Source organism: Homo sapiens, chromosome 19, assembly GCF_000001405.40.
Source record: "Homo sapiens chromosome 19, GRCh38.p14 Primary Assembly".
In the NCBI taxonomy this organism is placed as follows: Eukaryota; Metazoa; Chordata; class Mammalia; order Primates; family Hominidae; genus Homo; species Homo sapiens.
Genome location: NC_000019.10, coordinates 47,503,061 through 47,517,376, shown reverse-complemented (window position 1 = coordinate 47,517,376; position 14,316 = coordinate 47,503,061). Strand labels below are relative to the sequence as shown.

General features: G+C 53.1%; 1 protein-coding gene across 5 annotated transcripts in view, besides 2 other annotated features; it reads left to right on the top strand.

Moving 5' to 3' along the window:
* Nucleotides 1,666-1,935: an enhancer, noted in NCBI's record as "active region_14867". NCBI's record gives its function as "activates an Ori minimal core promoter by ATAC-STARR-seq in GM12878 lymphoblastoid cells {active_cell/tissue: GM12878}" and the evidence as "EXISTENCE:reporter gene assay evidence [ECO:0000049][PMID:35858748]".
* Nucleotides 2,026-2,365: a silencer, noted in NCBI's record as "silent region_10855". NCBI's record gives its function as "represses an Ori minimal core promoter by ATAC-STARR-seq in GM12878 lymphoblastoid cells {active_cell/tissue: GM12878}" and the evidence as "EXISTENCE:reporter gene assay evidence [ECO:0000049][PMID:35858748]".
* NAPA (NSF attachment protein alpha) overlaps nucleotides 2,314-14,316 on the top strand; it is a 30,534-nt gene continuing 18,531 nt past the window's right edge. For 3 of the 5 annotated variants that reach the window (XR_007067028.1, NR_038456.2, NM_003827.4), the window contains exons 1-2: nucleotides 2,314-2,534; nucleotides 13,875-13,954. Coding sequence is in view for 2 of the 5 variants with exons in the window: in NM_003827.4 (NP_003818.2) it covers nucleotides 2,437-2,534; nucleotides 13,875-13,954 (178 nt within the window). In the remaining 3 variants the exon portion in view is untranslated. Of the gene's footprint in view, nucleotides 2,535-4,593; nucleotides 4,665-13,874; nucleotides 13,955-14,316 lie in introns of those variants that run through there. The other 2 variants (XM_011527436.2, NR_038457.2) reach the window with 2 other exon arrangements.

The following is a 14,316-nucleotide window of genomic DNA, read 5'->3' as shown; positions in this document are numbered from 1 at the left end:
CAGGTGATCCACCCGCCTCAGCCTCTCAAAGTGGTGGGATTACAGGTATGAGCCACCGCACCCGGCCAATTTCCTTGGTTTTTTAACTCAATGCCCTTCTGTTCCAGGATCCCACCGAAGGTAAGACATTACATTTAGCAGTCACGTCTCCTTGGCTGTGATGGTTTCTCAGGCTTTCCTTGTTTTGATGACTTGACAGTGTTATTTGTTTGAGACGGAGTCTCCCTCTTGTCCCCCAGGCTGGAGTGCAGTGAGGCAATCTCCGCTCACTGCAACCTCCACCTCCAGGGTACAAGTGATCCTCCTGCCTCAGCCTCCCAAGTAGCTGTGATTACAGGCATGCACCACCTCACCGGGCTAAGTTTTTTGTATTTTCAGTAGCGACGGGGTTTCCCCATGTTGGACAGGCTGGTCTCAAACTCCTGGCCTCAAGTGATCCTCCTGCCTTGGCCTCCCAAAGTACCAGGACTACAGATGTGACACACTGCACCCACCAACAGTGTTGAGGAGTACTGGGCAAGTATTTTGGAGGATGTGGCTCAACTGGAATTTGTCTAGTGTTTTTTTCATGATTAGATTGAAAGATCCCAGAAGTAAAGAGCCATTTTAATCACATGACTTATCAATGTTGAGGTTAACCTCAATCACCTAGATGTCAATGTCAGGTTTCTCCACTGTAAATTTAGGCTTTTTCTCCCCTTTCTTGTACCCTCTTCTTTGAAAGGAAGTCACTATGCACAGTCCATACTTACAGAATGGGGAGGTATCCTTCACCTTCTTGAGAGCAGAGTATCTACGCAGATTATTTGGAATTCTTCTGCACAAACTATTTGTCTATTCTCCCCCCTTTATTTATTTGTTCTATATTCATCTATATGACCATAGGCTCATGGATACTTTATGTTTGGGATTATAATCCAATACTACTTTATTTTGATGCTCAAATTGTTCCAGCTTTGGCCATTGGGAGTTCTTTCAGTTGGCTCCTTTGGCATACCCCCTAATTTTGTGTGTGAGCACACGTGTGGAATACTTCCTTCCTTTCTGGCACTACAAAGTTATACTGAGGTGAGCTATGATTGTGCTGCTGCACTCCAGCCTGGGCGACAGACCGAGACCCTGTCTCCAAAACCAACAACCCAAAGAGTGAGACCCTGTCTCAGAAACCAGCAACTCAATTTTCTGGGACAGCAGGAGGTGTGTTTGAGCCTAAACTTTTTTTTTTAGAGACAGAGTCTTGCTATGTTGCCCAAGGCGGGACTTGAACTAGACTCAAACTCCTGGGCCCAAGCGATCCTCTCGCCTCCCGAGTAGCTGGGATTATAGGCACGAGACACCGCGCCCATCTTCGAATCTGAATTTTTTTTTAACACGCTCTCTTCAGCTATTTTTTTTTTTTTTCTGAGACTAAGTCTCACTCTGTCGCCCAGGCTGGAGTGCAGTGGCACGATCTCGGCCCGTTGCAACCTCCACCTCCCCGGTTCAAGCGATTCTCCTCTCTCAGCCTCCTCAGTAGCTGGGATTACAGGAGTGTGCCACCACACCCGGTTAATATTTGTATTTTAGTAGAGCGGGGTTTCGCCATGTTGGCCGGGCTGGTCTCAAACTCATGACCTCAAGTGATCCGCCCGCCTCGGCCTCCCAAAGTGCTGGGATTACAGGCGTAAGCCACCGTGCCCGGCCCTCTTCAGCTATTTTTTATGAAACCAGAGTTAGAGAACCTCTTAAGTTTTTGTTTGCAGTCTCTCTTCACCGGTCTCCCCAAAGCAGTTCTAGTACTGGCCGACAGAGGGAGCAAGAAAAAGCAGAACGGTTTCCTTTTCCCACAAACGCCTTTCCAAGTGAAGAAACCGGCGAGACCAGCCGCGGGGGCGGGACTAAGTTCTGCGCAGAACTGTCAAACCCGGGCGTGGGCCCCGAGCTGTCACGTGAGTGTCTGCGGTCAGCTGACTGTGCCAGAGTTCCGCGGGGAGGGCGAGTGGGGGACCCCCCGCCCCAGCGCGAGCCGAGGGCTCCTGCTGATTGGTGGAGGAGGATCCAGCAGCAACACCGTGGGGCGGGGCCTCGGCGGGGGGTACTGCCATTGCCTTCCACAGGGTCACGTGGGAGGTGAGGTACAGAGCGCTGGGGAGAGAGTGGAGCGCCGTTCGCCGGTATGTGCGCATGCGTTGAGGTCTCTTGACGCCGATTGGGGGGTCACGAGTCACGGGCGGCGTGCGGCGGCTGGTGGGGGCGTGTCCGGCGGAGCGGGCGCGGCGTTACGAGGCCGCTGGTTGGCCAGCGCTAGTCACGTGGTTCCTGGCCGCAAGCGACGCGCGCCGGTGCGACGTCAACGCAGCCGGGCGAGTTTTACCGATCTGTGTTCCGCGGCCCGGCCGCGGCTGAGTCTTCCCAGGGTCAGGGTCAGGCGCTTTGCTGAGTCCCTTTGTGGCCGCCATGGACAATTCCGGGAAGGAAGCGGAGGCGATGGCGCTGTTGGCCGAGGCGGAGCGCAAAGTGAAGAACTCGCAGTCCTTCTTCTCTGGCCTCTTTGGGTGAGAACCGGGCTGAGGGGTCGGCCGGGACCTAGGCTGAGAGGACGAAGGAGTCACGCTCGGAGGTGGCGGGTTAGGGCACGCAGAGCTCGGGCCGAGGGGACGGAGAGGAACCTGCAATAAGGTGACATGGCCTGAGGCGGCAGAGGGGACGCAGGCTGAGGGCCAAGAGCCTGGGCCGGGGCAACACGGTTTGAGGAGAGACGGTCTGACATGGCGGAAGGGATTTGGGCTGAGGACACACGGACCGAGGCGACACTATCTTGAGGCGAGGAAGGGGACCCAGGCCGAAGACAGGCCAGCGGGCGGGGGAGAACCTGGACCGAGGGAGTACGTCCTGAAGCCTTGGAGGGGACCGGCCTGGGGGGACGGAGGGAGTCCGGGAGAGAAGCCAGGTCCAGAGGCTTTTCGGAGCTCTAGGGGAGTCTGTTTGAAGGCTCTCAGGCGGCAGTGATGGGGCCTGGGGCTGAGGACGCCTGCCCGAGGGACTGACCTTTTCAACCCCTGGAGCAGTGGATTTGCGTGGGCCCTGGGCGGTGAGGGTGAAGGCTGAAGGGGGCTGACACCAGGCAGAGGGGCTCAGGGCTAGATGATCCTAGGAGCGGTGAGCCGCGTCTGAAGTGTGGGGGGTGCATGGGGTGAGTACGGCCCTGGTTAGCAGTGACTAGTTTAAGGACAGCTGAACGGAGGAACCCGGGATGATGGAGTCAAGACTGTGGAGGTCTCAGCACTTTGGGAGGCCGAGGTGGGCAGATTATCTGAGGCGGGGAGTTCGAGACCAGCCTGGACAACATGGTGAAACCCCGTCTCTACTAAAAATACAAAAGTTATCTGGGCCTGGTGGCGGGTACCTGTAATCCCAGCTACTCGGGAGGCTGGGGCAGGAGAATCACTTGAACCCGGAGGTAGAGGTTGCAGTGAGCCGAGATCGAGCCACTGCACTACAGCCTGGGGGACAGAGCGAGACTCTGTCTCAAAAAAAAAAAAAAAAAAAAAGAAAGAAAGAAAGAAAAAAGCCTGAGGAGGCCTGGGTTGAGGCTGGAGACTCCTGGGTGGGGGAATGCGTGGTGGTGGCTTGGCCAAGGAGATGGAGGGATAACAGGGAGAGACAGGGGGACTGAGAGAACCAAAACGGGGGATCAAATTCCTGCTGTGTGATCCTCGAGTAATAGGGATGACAGAGACATGCTGAGAAGAGGGATGGGAAAAGGCCTGGGAGACAGAACTAACACATATGACGTGGCATAAAACTCACGTTAGCTCCTAAAAGCTGACACGACCATCCTGTGATAAATTGTAGTGGCTTAGAAGTGCCAAGAGCCCAAGTAGCTCTGCCACTTACTTCATGACTTTGGGTAAATTGTTTAGTCTCCCTGCTAAAGGAGATCACAAATCAAACCTACCTCCCATTTGCTATGAGTGTTAGAATTGAGCCTGGCGTGGAGTTACATCTCTGAGAGTGTTAGCTGTTGTTAATGTGACTTCCAGAAGGAAACAGGTTCGGAGCGTGCAGAGAGCTGATGGGGGTTCAAGGTGGACGCCCGAGCGGAGAGGTCTGGGAGGGGTCAGGAGAGGGAGAGACTGAGAAACATGAGTGTGCTAAGAGGAGCTGAAAGGGAACAGAAAAGGGATCCACGAAGACTTAGTAGGGTTGAGAGGAGCATGAGGCTCTGGGCAGAGGAAGGAGAAGGGAGTTTGGCAGGGGGCGGTGGTGTGGGAGGTGGTGGGATCTGTGCTGATGGGACGACCCGAAAGGGTCAAGGGGAGGTTGTGGAAACTGAGAGGAGACCTGGGAAAGGACTAGTGGGCTTGTAGAGAGAACAGTGTGTGGTGGCCACTCAGAAGCAGAGCCTGGGGACGGTGGTGGGACTGGGAACATCTGCAGAAGGCTGGAGAAGGGGGTTTGGGAGGAGGGCCTGGGGATGGGAAGAGACTGTGGTAGGAGCCTGGCAGAGGCTGGTAAGACACGAAGGAGAGGGATCTTTACAAGAGAGGAAGGAACAGGAAAAGGGCTCTAGGCCACGCCCCTTGTTTGAGGTTGGATAATGTTTAGCAAAATAACTTGAAGAACATGATGGCGAATTGCCTGGTGTGGAGAAACATCCGGGGCTGATGGACTGGATTGATTAGGTGAAAAATGTTTTATTTTAGAGGCTGCGAGGAGAGAGAGGGTGTGTGTGTGTTTCTTTTTCTTCACAAGGGGAGAAGTTCAAGTGCTGTGTTTGGGGGTGGGGCCACGAGCTGGGTTTTTGGTGATAGTTTTCCTGGGTGGCTCTGGGTGTCTGGTCCCTTTGGCCCAGGGATTAGTGGGCTGTTGGACTGTGTGCTTGGAGGGAGCAGCTAAGTCAGCCCCAAGGCATTTGCTACCTGATTGGGAAGGCAGGATGAACAGCAAACACCAATAAAGTGGAATTACCTACTGTAAGGAGGGGCTCGATGATGTCATTCCTGTGACTGTCTGAGCTCAGAGGAAGCAGCGTGAACCAGGGGGAGGCTCTTGGTGAGGAGTGAGCTGGGCCCCAAGGAATCCCAGGACTTGCTGGGGAGTGGGGCCGGGGAGGGTGCTCTAGGCAGCAGGGATGGTGCAACAGAGATCTACCGTGACGGGAGGTTCTGCCTGGAAAGACAGGGAACTGAGATCCAGAGGGATCAGAAATGGCTTCCTGGGGGAGAGGCCCCAACCCTGGGGGGATGAACATGAGTTCTGGGGTGCTCTCTGGCAGGGAGCAGCACTCCAGGCAAGGATTATTATGGAGCATGCCTTAGGAAGATGGAACACAGGGAGTTCCACGTTAGACCATAAAGGTGGAAGCGGCAGGTGAGGCCAGACAAGGAAGGTCTGGTGAGCAAGGGCTGGGCCTGGAGGAGGCACTGAAGATCTCCGAGGAGGCTAAGGGAGGCCCATCCTGGCGAGCTCCTGTTTGCCTTCTAGAAAGGACTGCAGCAGCTGGTGTGGGGGAGAGTGACAGCAGGAGGCTGTTGCAGTGCCGGTAATACTAGCAGATGCTGGTTATTAAGTGCTCGCTCTGACTCAGACCCTGGCCTGGGCCAGGCTCAACCTGCTGATGGATGGTATGGATTTAGTCCTTACAAAATCCCCGTGGAGGTAGAGAAACTTGGGGGCTTAGAGAAGTTGACTTATTTGCCCAGCCCCACAGTAAGTGGGAGAAGTGGCATTCAAACCCAGTTCTGTGTGATTCCAGAGCCTTCTCACTTAGCCCCTTTGCTGTGCTACCACGGTAGTTTCTCCTCAAGGTTCATGACCATCTCTGGGCACTACATTTAGGAAGGATGTTGGCAAACTAGGTGTGTTGGAGAGCTGCCACCCTCTTAACTGTCCTCCCATGGCTGTTTTCTCCAAATATGTGAAAAAAAGAGCTGGTGTGTTCATCTCAGTTCCTTCCAGCTCCCAGAGGAGCTGACCTGGTGCTGTGGGAGTATGAGTGAGGTTAGGGCAGAGGGCAGGGAGGATGGGAGGCTGGCCTGACCGGAGCTTGTGTGCCTGGGAGCTGGGAGCACAGCCAGAGGCCAGCTTGGGAGGACCTGCTTGGCGGGCGGGAATCACTCAGGCACCTCCTCCTCTCTGATCTGGGTTTGCTTGTGTTCAACATTTCATAACCCACCTTTATTCAAGGTCCTTGGTAGCTGCCGGGACTGGAGAAGGGAGCGTTGCGGCTCAGCTTGTCCTTGGTGCCTCTCCCTTCCCCTTTGGGAACCCCAGCAATGACAGCATCCCACATTGAGGGGCCTCTGCCCCTGTCAAAGGGCAAGTCAGAGAGCCCGCACCTGGGACGCAAGGCGATGGGTGTCTGTGCTGTCGCCTGCCTTGGTGCTCAGATGCCACCCTTGCTCTTCATTATTTCTGGGCTGCCAGACGCTAGGGGGCTTTGATGCACCAGCAGCCACTGAAGGCGACAGCACCAGCCAGTTAGGAGAAGCTCAAAGCCATACCTGTTCCTCCCCTTGGTGATGGGGGCGCAGCTCAAACTTCTGCTCTGGAAGCAAAAAGACGGAGACTTCCTAACTACAGCACAGTGAGCCAGCAGCAGAAGGGGATGGCTGAGTCCAGGCACACTAGTTCCTCCTCCCTGCTGCGTGTCTCCTGGGGAATCCAGAGTGCCTGCTGTGCCGTTTGGGGATCCTGCAGGTTCTGAATGGCGGCTCTGTTCCCTGGGGCTTTTCCTCATCCCTGATGTTTCCCAGCCACCTCCCCTGTCCCCAAAATAGCCAAAATAAAAACTTCCTTCCTCTTGGATACAAACGTGTAGAGGGAGTTTCTTCATCTGTGAAATGAAAATCATGGTAACTGTTTCCTCAGGTGGTTTTAAGGATAAATGAGACGATGTGTGGGAAGTGGTGGGAGCACGTTGCCTGGCTCTGCTAATGTTTATTAAGGGCTCACTGTCATCTTTATTAGTAGGTATTGTCATTGGAAGTTGAGCTAGAAGTGCTGGAGAAATAGGTGGCAGAGGGTGTTCTGTATACAAACAGTGCATTCCTAAGATCAGATCTTGACAAATCAGTTCCTGTTTGAACTACCTGTAGGCAATAACGGCGGGACCCTGGGAGGGCCAGCTTGTCTGTACAGGGCCTGCCCAGGGCCTTGGCTGAGACTGGTGTGGGCACGAGCTTCCAGATTTCTCTCCAGACCGCCTTCCTCTGCAGAGCGTGCAGAAACCCCGGCGCCATTTCCAGTGGGCACCCTGGTGAATCACAGTGCCCTGCCAGCTGCCAAGATCCACAACTGAAAACTTGGCATCTCTTGCCCAGTCTCAGAGTGGAGTCTTTCCTGAGGGCACACAAGGTTTCTGGGGAATCCGAGAGTTCCTGGCTTTCCTGATGGATAGGACTTTGCTGCCTGGCCATACAAACATTTCCGTCTCCTTTTTGGGATGGGGCTACTGAGAGGCAAGGGTCTTTGAGAACACCTTTTAAGAAAAAGGAAGTACATTCGCCCTTGGTCTGTGGTGAAATGTAATCCCGTTGGGGTGCAGGAGGGCATCCGTATAAGAAAATAAGAAACAGGGCGCCTGCCAGGCTGTGTGCCGTGTGGCAGGTGAGATCCTGGCTCTGAGCTCATCTCGAAGGGCCGTGGGCCTGTATGTATTTTGAGCATTGTGCAGTAAGGGGTGGGGCATGGGAGGCCAGGACTCTGGAAGCCGAAGGAGGAGCATTACTTAGCTAATCTGGGATGGAGATGAAGCCCATGCTGCTATTCTGAAGTAGGGAAGCGTGCCTGGAATCGGTCCTCTGCGGGGCCTGATGAGAGGGATGCTCTCGTTTACTGAACGCCCGTGGTGTGGCCAGCTCTCTGCTGGGCACGCCGTGGGGTGCTGCCTGCAAGATTGCTCGTGCTTCAGCAGCCCTGCAAGGTGTGGAGTCTTATGCCTAGTTACACATAAGGAAACGCAGGCTGGCACACGATGAGCTGGCGCTGAGGCCAGGCCTGTCTGACTACTGTCAGCATTTATTTTATTTTATTTTATTTTATTTATTTTATTTTATTTTATTTTATTTTATTTTATTTTATTTTATTTTATTTTATTTTATTTTTACCACCACAAGAAACTCTCTAGAATTCCCATTCCTGGGTGGCAGGCACCCCTTTGAGCGTATTTCTCTTCCTTTGTGTAATAGCAACCATTGAGCACCTTTTCCATTCTGCGCTCTGTGCCAAGTATTGACTATGTGTCATTTCTAATCCTCACAAAGACTCCTCCCAGGCCAGATTCATTGTCTCCATTTTATTTCATTTTTCATTTTTTGAGAGACAGGGTCTTGTTCTGTTGCCCAGGCTGGAGGGCAGTGGCGCGATCATAGCTCATTGCAGTCTCAACCTCCTGGGCTCAAGTGATCCTCTCACCTCAGCTTCCCAAGTAGCTGGGACTGTAGGCATATGCCACCATGCCTGGCTAATTTTTAGTAGAGTTGGGGTCTCACTGTGTTGCCCAGGCTGGTCTCAAACTCGAGATCAAGCAACCCTCCTGCTTCGGCCTCCCAAAGCCCTGGGATTGTAGGTGTGAGCCACTGTGGCCAGACATGCTGCCATTTTGTAGATAAAGAATGGAATCTCAGCACTTTGGGAGCAGAGGCAGGAGGATTGCTTGAGCCCAGGAGTTCGAGACCAGTGTAGGCAACACAGGGAGACCCCATCTCTTATTTAAAAAAAAAAAGCCTCAGGGATAACTAGCCCCAGGTCGAACACTTAGCAAAGTACCTGAAACGGACTTCAGCCCAGGTCTCGCCACCCCAAAGTCATTCTCTTTCTACCCCTTGTCTTTGCCCAGACAGGCATGTCACAAGAGGGTCCTGTGGCGATTTCAGAGCTGGGCAGTTAGCCTGTGACACTTTATTCTTTCACCGTTGTTAACTGGGGCTTGTGGAGAGATGGGAAAGCAGAGCTGGGCTCAGGCCCCGCCCTGCAGGAACTCATACTCTGCTTGGTCAGGCAAGGCCCACTGCAGAGTGGCGGGAGGCAGCTGGTGGTTTCCCGCTTCCAGGTGATACTGGTGGCGGTGCCTTCAGGATGCTGAGCCTCTGGCAGCTCCCAGCTCCAGTGCAGTCAGTGGACTAGCAGGGCTGGTGGCCCCCGGCTCCCTGTGCCAGGGTGGACCCTGCACCACAGGCAGCCTTAACTTTTTCTGACGTTCCTTCTGCCTGTTGGCTTGTTACTGGCAGGCTCGGTAGGGGGCTGGCTTAATTCATACTCCTTTGCCTAGAGGATGCTCCACGCAGCCCCAGCAGAGAGCAGCCTCTGCTCGTGAGATGAGGGAAGCCTAGGCAGTACAGGCTCCCTGGCTTCTTTAATCTAGAGGAGGGGTGGGGGCAGGCAGGGACCTTGTCCTCCCTCCTTATTTTCCCAAGGAGCCTTGGGCATGGGGAAGGAAGCCTTCCTGATCACTGAGTGAGAGGCAAGGGCAGGACTGGATCCCCAGGGCCCCAGTCCTCTTTCCAAGCCCTGCTGCTTCCTGGCAGGGTAAGCTTGGACAAGCCCTCCGCCCTCTCTGAGCCCCAGCTTCCTCGCCTGTAAAGCAAGGGCAGCACCCAAAGGGCTCTCGTGAGGAGCTGTGGGCTCCTTCCAGGGGAGTGCCTGGGAGGCAGGGAACGCCATGCGCCAGCCGTGATTAAGGCACATGGTCTCGAGAGCCGTGCAGGAGGTGGGCTTACAGGGAAGACACAGGCATGTGACGGGCCCTAGGACACCTTCCCCACTGAGGGTGCTGACTGGAGACTTGGGGCAGTGGGCCTTAAGTCTGAGGAGGAAACCGTAGGCCTGTGGCTGTGGCTTCCACAGAGGCAAGAGAGATAGAGTGAGTCCAGGACCCGAAATGGGGGCCTGACTTTGTCCACCCTGCCTCGTGAGGTCCTTCGGGAGCTGCAGGTGGTGGGTCTCAGGGCATGGTGTATTTCTGGCAGCCAGGAAGTGCCTGGTGGATGGAGGAAGGAAGGAGGGGGCTAAGACTCTGCCCTGCACAACCCCCTGGCCCAGGTCCCATCAGGCATCTGTGTATTCCTGGCAGTGCCCAGCCTTCCATATGGCAGTCCCTGAGGTTGGTGGCTGTGTTTGGGAGACCTGAGACTCCTTCCTCCGCCTTGGAGGGGGAGAGAGCAAAGCTGAGCGGGTAATTATAGACAGCCCTGCATCAGGCAGCCCAAACCAGTTCCCTCTATTCCCGGAGTGGCTCAGAGCCGTGGGATGGGAGGAGTGAAGCAGAGGCAGCTTGGGGGAGGTCAGTGGGGGAGGGACAGTCAGCTGTCACATGCGCTGCCACCCAGGCCCTCAGGAGAGGAGGCCCAGCTAGATTTTCCTTTCGTGTACTGTTGTTATCTCCTGGCACGTAATAAATGCTCGGATACCTGTTCCCCAGGTGAATAAATGTGTATGTGAATGGCTTCTTCAGGATCTTCCACTGGAACCTAGGCACGTCACTTTCCCCCTTTGGGGACTTCACTCCCATTTCTAAAAGAAGAGGATGGGACCCTGGAGATCTCCTGTCATCCCCTGGCCATGGTAATGGGCAAGACCGCGGGGTGCAGGGGAAGAAGGAGGCAAGCCTGGGGCCTGAGCAGGTGTTAATCCCTCTGGCCTTTCCACCCCACAGAATCATTGACCCCGTGCAGGGTTGGCTGTGCTTAGCCTGGGATCACAGAGTTTCAGCCCGGGCAGCTGGTAGGCTTTGTGTCCGTCCTGAAATAAACCCGGCTGGGCTGACTCTGCTCATTGTTGATTGCCCGCTGTGGGCCACTCAGTGACGTGGGTCATTTCTGCCCATCCAGGGTCTGTGCTTTTTCAGAGAGTGCATGGAGCTGGATAGGACTTAGTCACACTCAAAAAGAAGGGAAGGCTGAGCTGGGGGACCTGTGGGGTGGGCAGACCTGTGATTAAGGTCTGAAAATGTCCCTTTAAGAGAACATTCCAGAGAAGGTCCTTCTGAGGGTTTTTTGCAGCCAGGCCCCAAAGGACCCTTCAGGATTCTCAGCCAGAAGGTTTTGAAAGTTTCTTACCTCTCCAAGGCCAGGAATGGGTTCTAAAGAAGTCATTCCAGGCTGGGCACGGTGGCTCATGCCTGTAATCCCAGCACTTTGGGAGGCCGAGGCGAGTGGACCACTTGAGGTCAGGAGTTCGAGACCAGCCTGGCCAACGTGGTGAAACCCTGTCTCTACTAATAATACAAAAATTAGTAGGGTGTGATGGCACACATCTGTAATCCCAGCTACTCAGGAGGCTGAGGCAGGAGAATTGCTTGAACCCGGGAGTTGGAGGTTGCAGTAAGCTGAGATCGTGCCACTGTACTCCAGCCTGGGCGACAAGAGCGAAACTCCATCTCAAAAAAAAAAAAAAAAAAAAGAAGTCACTCCAAACAAGGCCCAAGGTGTGTTGGGCTGGCTGAGGTGAGGTGGGTGAGGGAAGACAGAGTGCAGCAGGGCGAGTGCGGGAAGAACACATTGCTCAGGGCCACTTCCCAGGGACAGCAGAGGGTGGGGGACAGCATCAGCACAGCCCCAGAAGGCAGAGGGTAGGCTTTTCATCTGGCAAGATGACAGAGAGGATAGGAATAAATAGATTATTTACCTGGTGTGATGTGGATTCAGGAGGCCAGGATCCCTGGCCCAACCAGCCCGCCCACCGTGGGGGCATTTATTTGCCTGCTGACATTGCCAGGCCTGGCCGCTGATCTGATCGCTGGTGGCTGCTTTCCAGGTAGTCGGTCTCAGTCAATTTTTCCTTCTCAAACTCACCTGATCAGCTGAATTACCTGGGCCCCCCAAACCCCAATTGTTAAAAATCTCATTTGCAGGCCCCATCCAGACCCTACTGAGCGAATCCCAAAGTGTGTGGCTGTGGGACTCTGGTTTGATGAAATGAGCACTTCATGTGGCTGAAAGGGATGGGCAGGTTGGACACACTGAATCCGCAGTGCAGAGGGAAGGAATGCTCACATCCCAGCTCCCAAAATTACCTTTGAGCCCCTCCACAGCTGGGGTTGGTGTGGACAAGTTCCCAGGTATAATGTTGGGCCAGTTGACACAGGGTGTGGGATGGGATGGTGAGGATGATTTGAATGGGAAAGTACCCACTCCTCCCTTTTCTCTTCCTTAAAAATAAACTAAACACTAGTTATGCCAGTGAAGAGAGGCCCTGAAATCCATTTGGTGGGACTCCAGAGTGTGTGGATTTTATTCTACTGATTATGTAGATATTGGGAGTTTGAGCAGTTACAGAGACTACAGACCTCGCGGGCTAAGCCTGGTTGTATTATTAAGGGCAGAAGAATGCAGTGGGACTTACGGGTTTGAGGTACTAATGAGGTCCCCCAAGTCAAGAGGAGGCTCATTATGTACATGTGGAGGTCAAGAAGCCAGAGTGAAGCTGCCCAAACAGGGTACCCTTTATGTTTTCAAATTCCTGTCTATCTCCCAGTGTATCCCTACTGTTGGACAATAAGTTTTTGGGGGGTTTTGCTGTTTTAAATAATGCTATGCTGAACATCCTTGTAACTTTTCTGATTAGTTTTTTTAGGATAAATTGCTAGAGATGTAATTCATTGCTGGACCACAGGGCCAAATATAAATCCTAATACTTAAAAATATGTGTGTGTGTGTGTCTGTGTATGTGTAAATGTATAGATATATACACACATATATACACATACACATATATACACATGTGTATATATGTACACGTGTGTGTATATATGTATATATTTTTTTTCTCGAAAAGATGTACAAACAGTTAAAAAAAAATTCAGACAGTACAAATACGGGATGTCCAGTGAATAAGTCTGCCTCCCACACCTGGCCCTCCTTCTGCAGGCTTCACCTTAAGAGAAAAATGCTGTTACTAGGTTTTTGTGTATTTGCCCAGAAATATCCTATGTTTATATAAACATGTATGTTTCTATTATTTTCACTCTCTTTCTCTTTTTTTTTTTTTTTTTTTTTTTGAGACAAGGTCTGGCTCTGTCGTCGTCCAGGCTGGAGTTCAATGGTGTGATCTTGGCTTACTGCAACCTCTGCCTCCCAGGCTCAAGTGATCCTCCCACATCAGCCTCTCTAGTAGCTAGGACTACAGGCGTGCACCATCACACCCTGCTAATTTTTTGTATTTTTTGTAGAGTTGGGGTTTTGCCGTGTGGCCCAGGCTGGTCTCGAACTCTTGAGCTCAAGCAATCCGCCAACCTTGGCCTCCCAAAGTGTTGGGATTACAGGAGCCATGAACCACCACACCCAGCCCACCCTCTTTTTTTTTTAAACACAAATGGGAACATCTTATATCTACACTTTAAAATAGTGCTTCCCATTTCTTTGTATGGCTGTGTGATATATATGCCCAGTCCTGAGCTGGTAATGACACACTCCAGGGCTGCAAGGTCTTTATTGAGCAACCACAGAGTGCAAGGCACAGGATTAAGGCTGCCTCTGCGAAAGCAACACGATGTCTTAAACTGGGCTAGTCCCCCAGAATGCTTTGCAGTCTCCCGGGGAAAGGGGATTTGTAGCGCGCCTGGGACCCAGTGGGCCCCTAGTATCCCAGGCAGGAAGTAGAAGAGGCTGTCAGACCCTGGGGTTGTGGTGGGGTCAGGAACTCTTCGCCCCACTACCCCAGCAAGCACCCAGTATCTACCCCAGTACTCCCGGAGGGAGCTGGTCTGCCCGAAGTGAGTGTGCCATTGTATGCAGGGGCGGGGGCCACAGACTCAAGAGGCCTGGGGGAAGCTGGCTTCACAGGTGAAGGGTGAGGGGTAGGGGCACGTCTGTGCCCGGCACTGGAGCAGAATGCTTGCTTTCTCCTGGATAGCCGACTAGATTGTCTCCTTTTTTTCTTTCCTTTTTCCCCAGAGGCTCATCCAAAATAGAGGAAGCATGCGAAATCTACGCCAGAGCAGCAAACATGTTCAAAATGGCCAAAAACTGGAGTGGTATGTCATCTCCGCTAGAGCTCCTCCAAGGTGCTCTCCTCCTCCCTCAGCTTCCACTCACACAGGCCTGCCCGAGAGGTTGGCCTTGAGGGCCCTTTCTCTTTGTATGCCCTCTCCGGCATCGGAAAGCCACTGGCCTGCTCTCTTGTTTTGTGCCTGCTGGGTTACTTTATACTCTGGGTCATGGGGCCTTGGTGAAAGGACAGAGAGGATGGGAATAAATAGATTATTAGACCTAGATAAACCCATGTGGATTGATGAGCTCTTAGAGTCCTCCTTAAATTCAGAACTTCAGGTTTCCTGGTAACTTCCTTAGTGCTTCCATCAGTGTCTAAATTCTAGGCTGGGGGAGGATGTTCAGG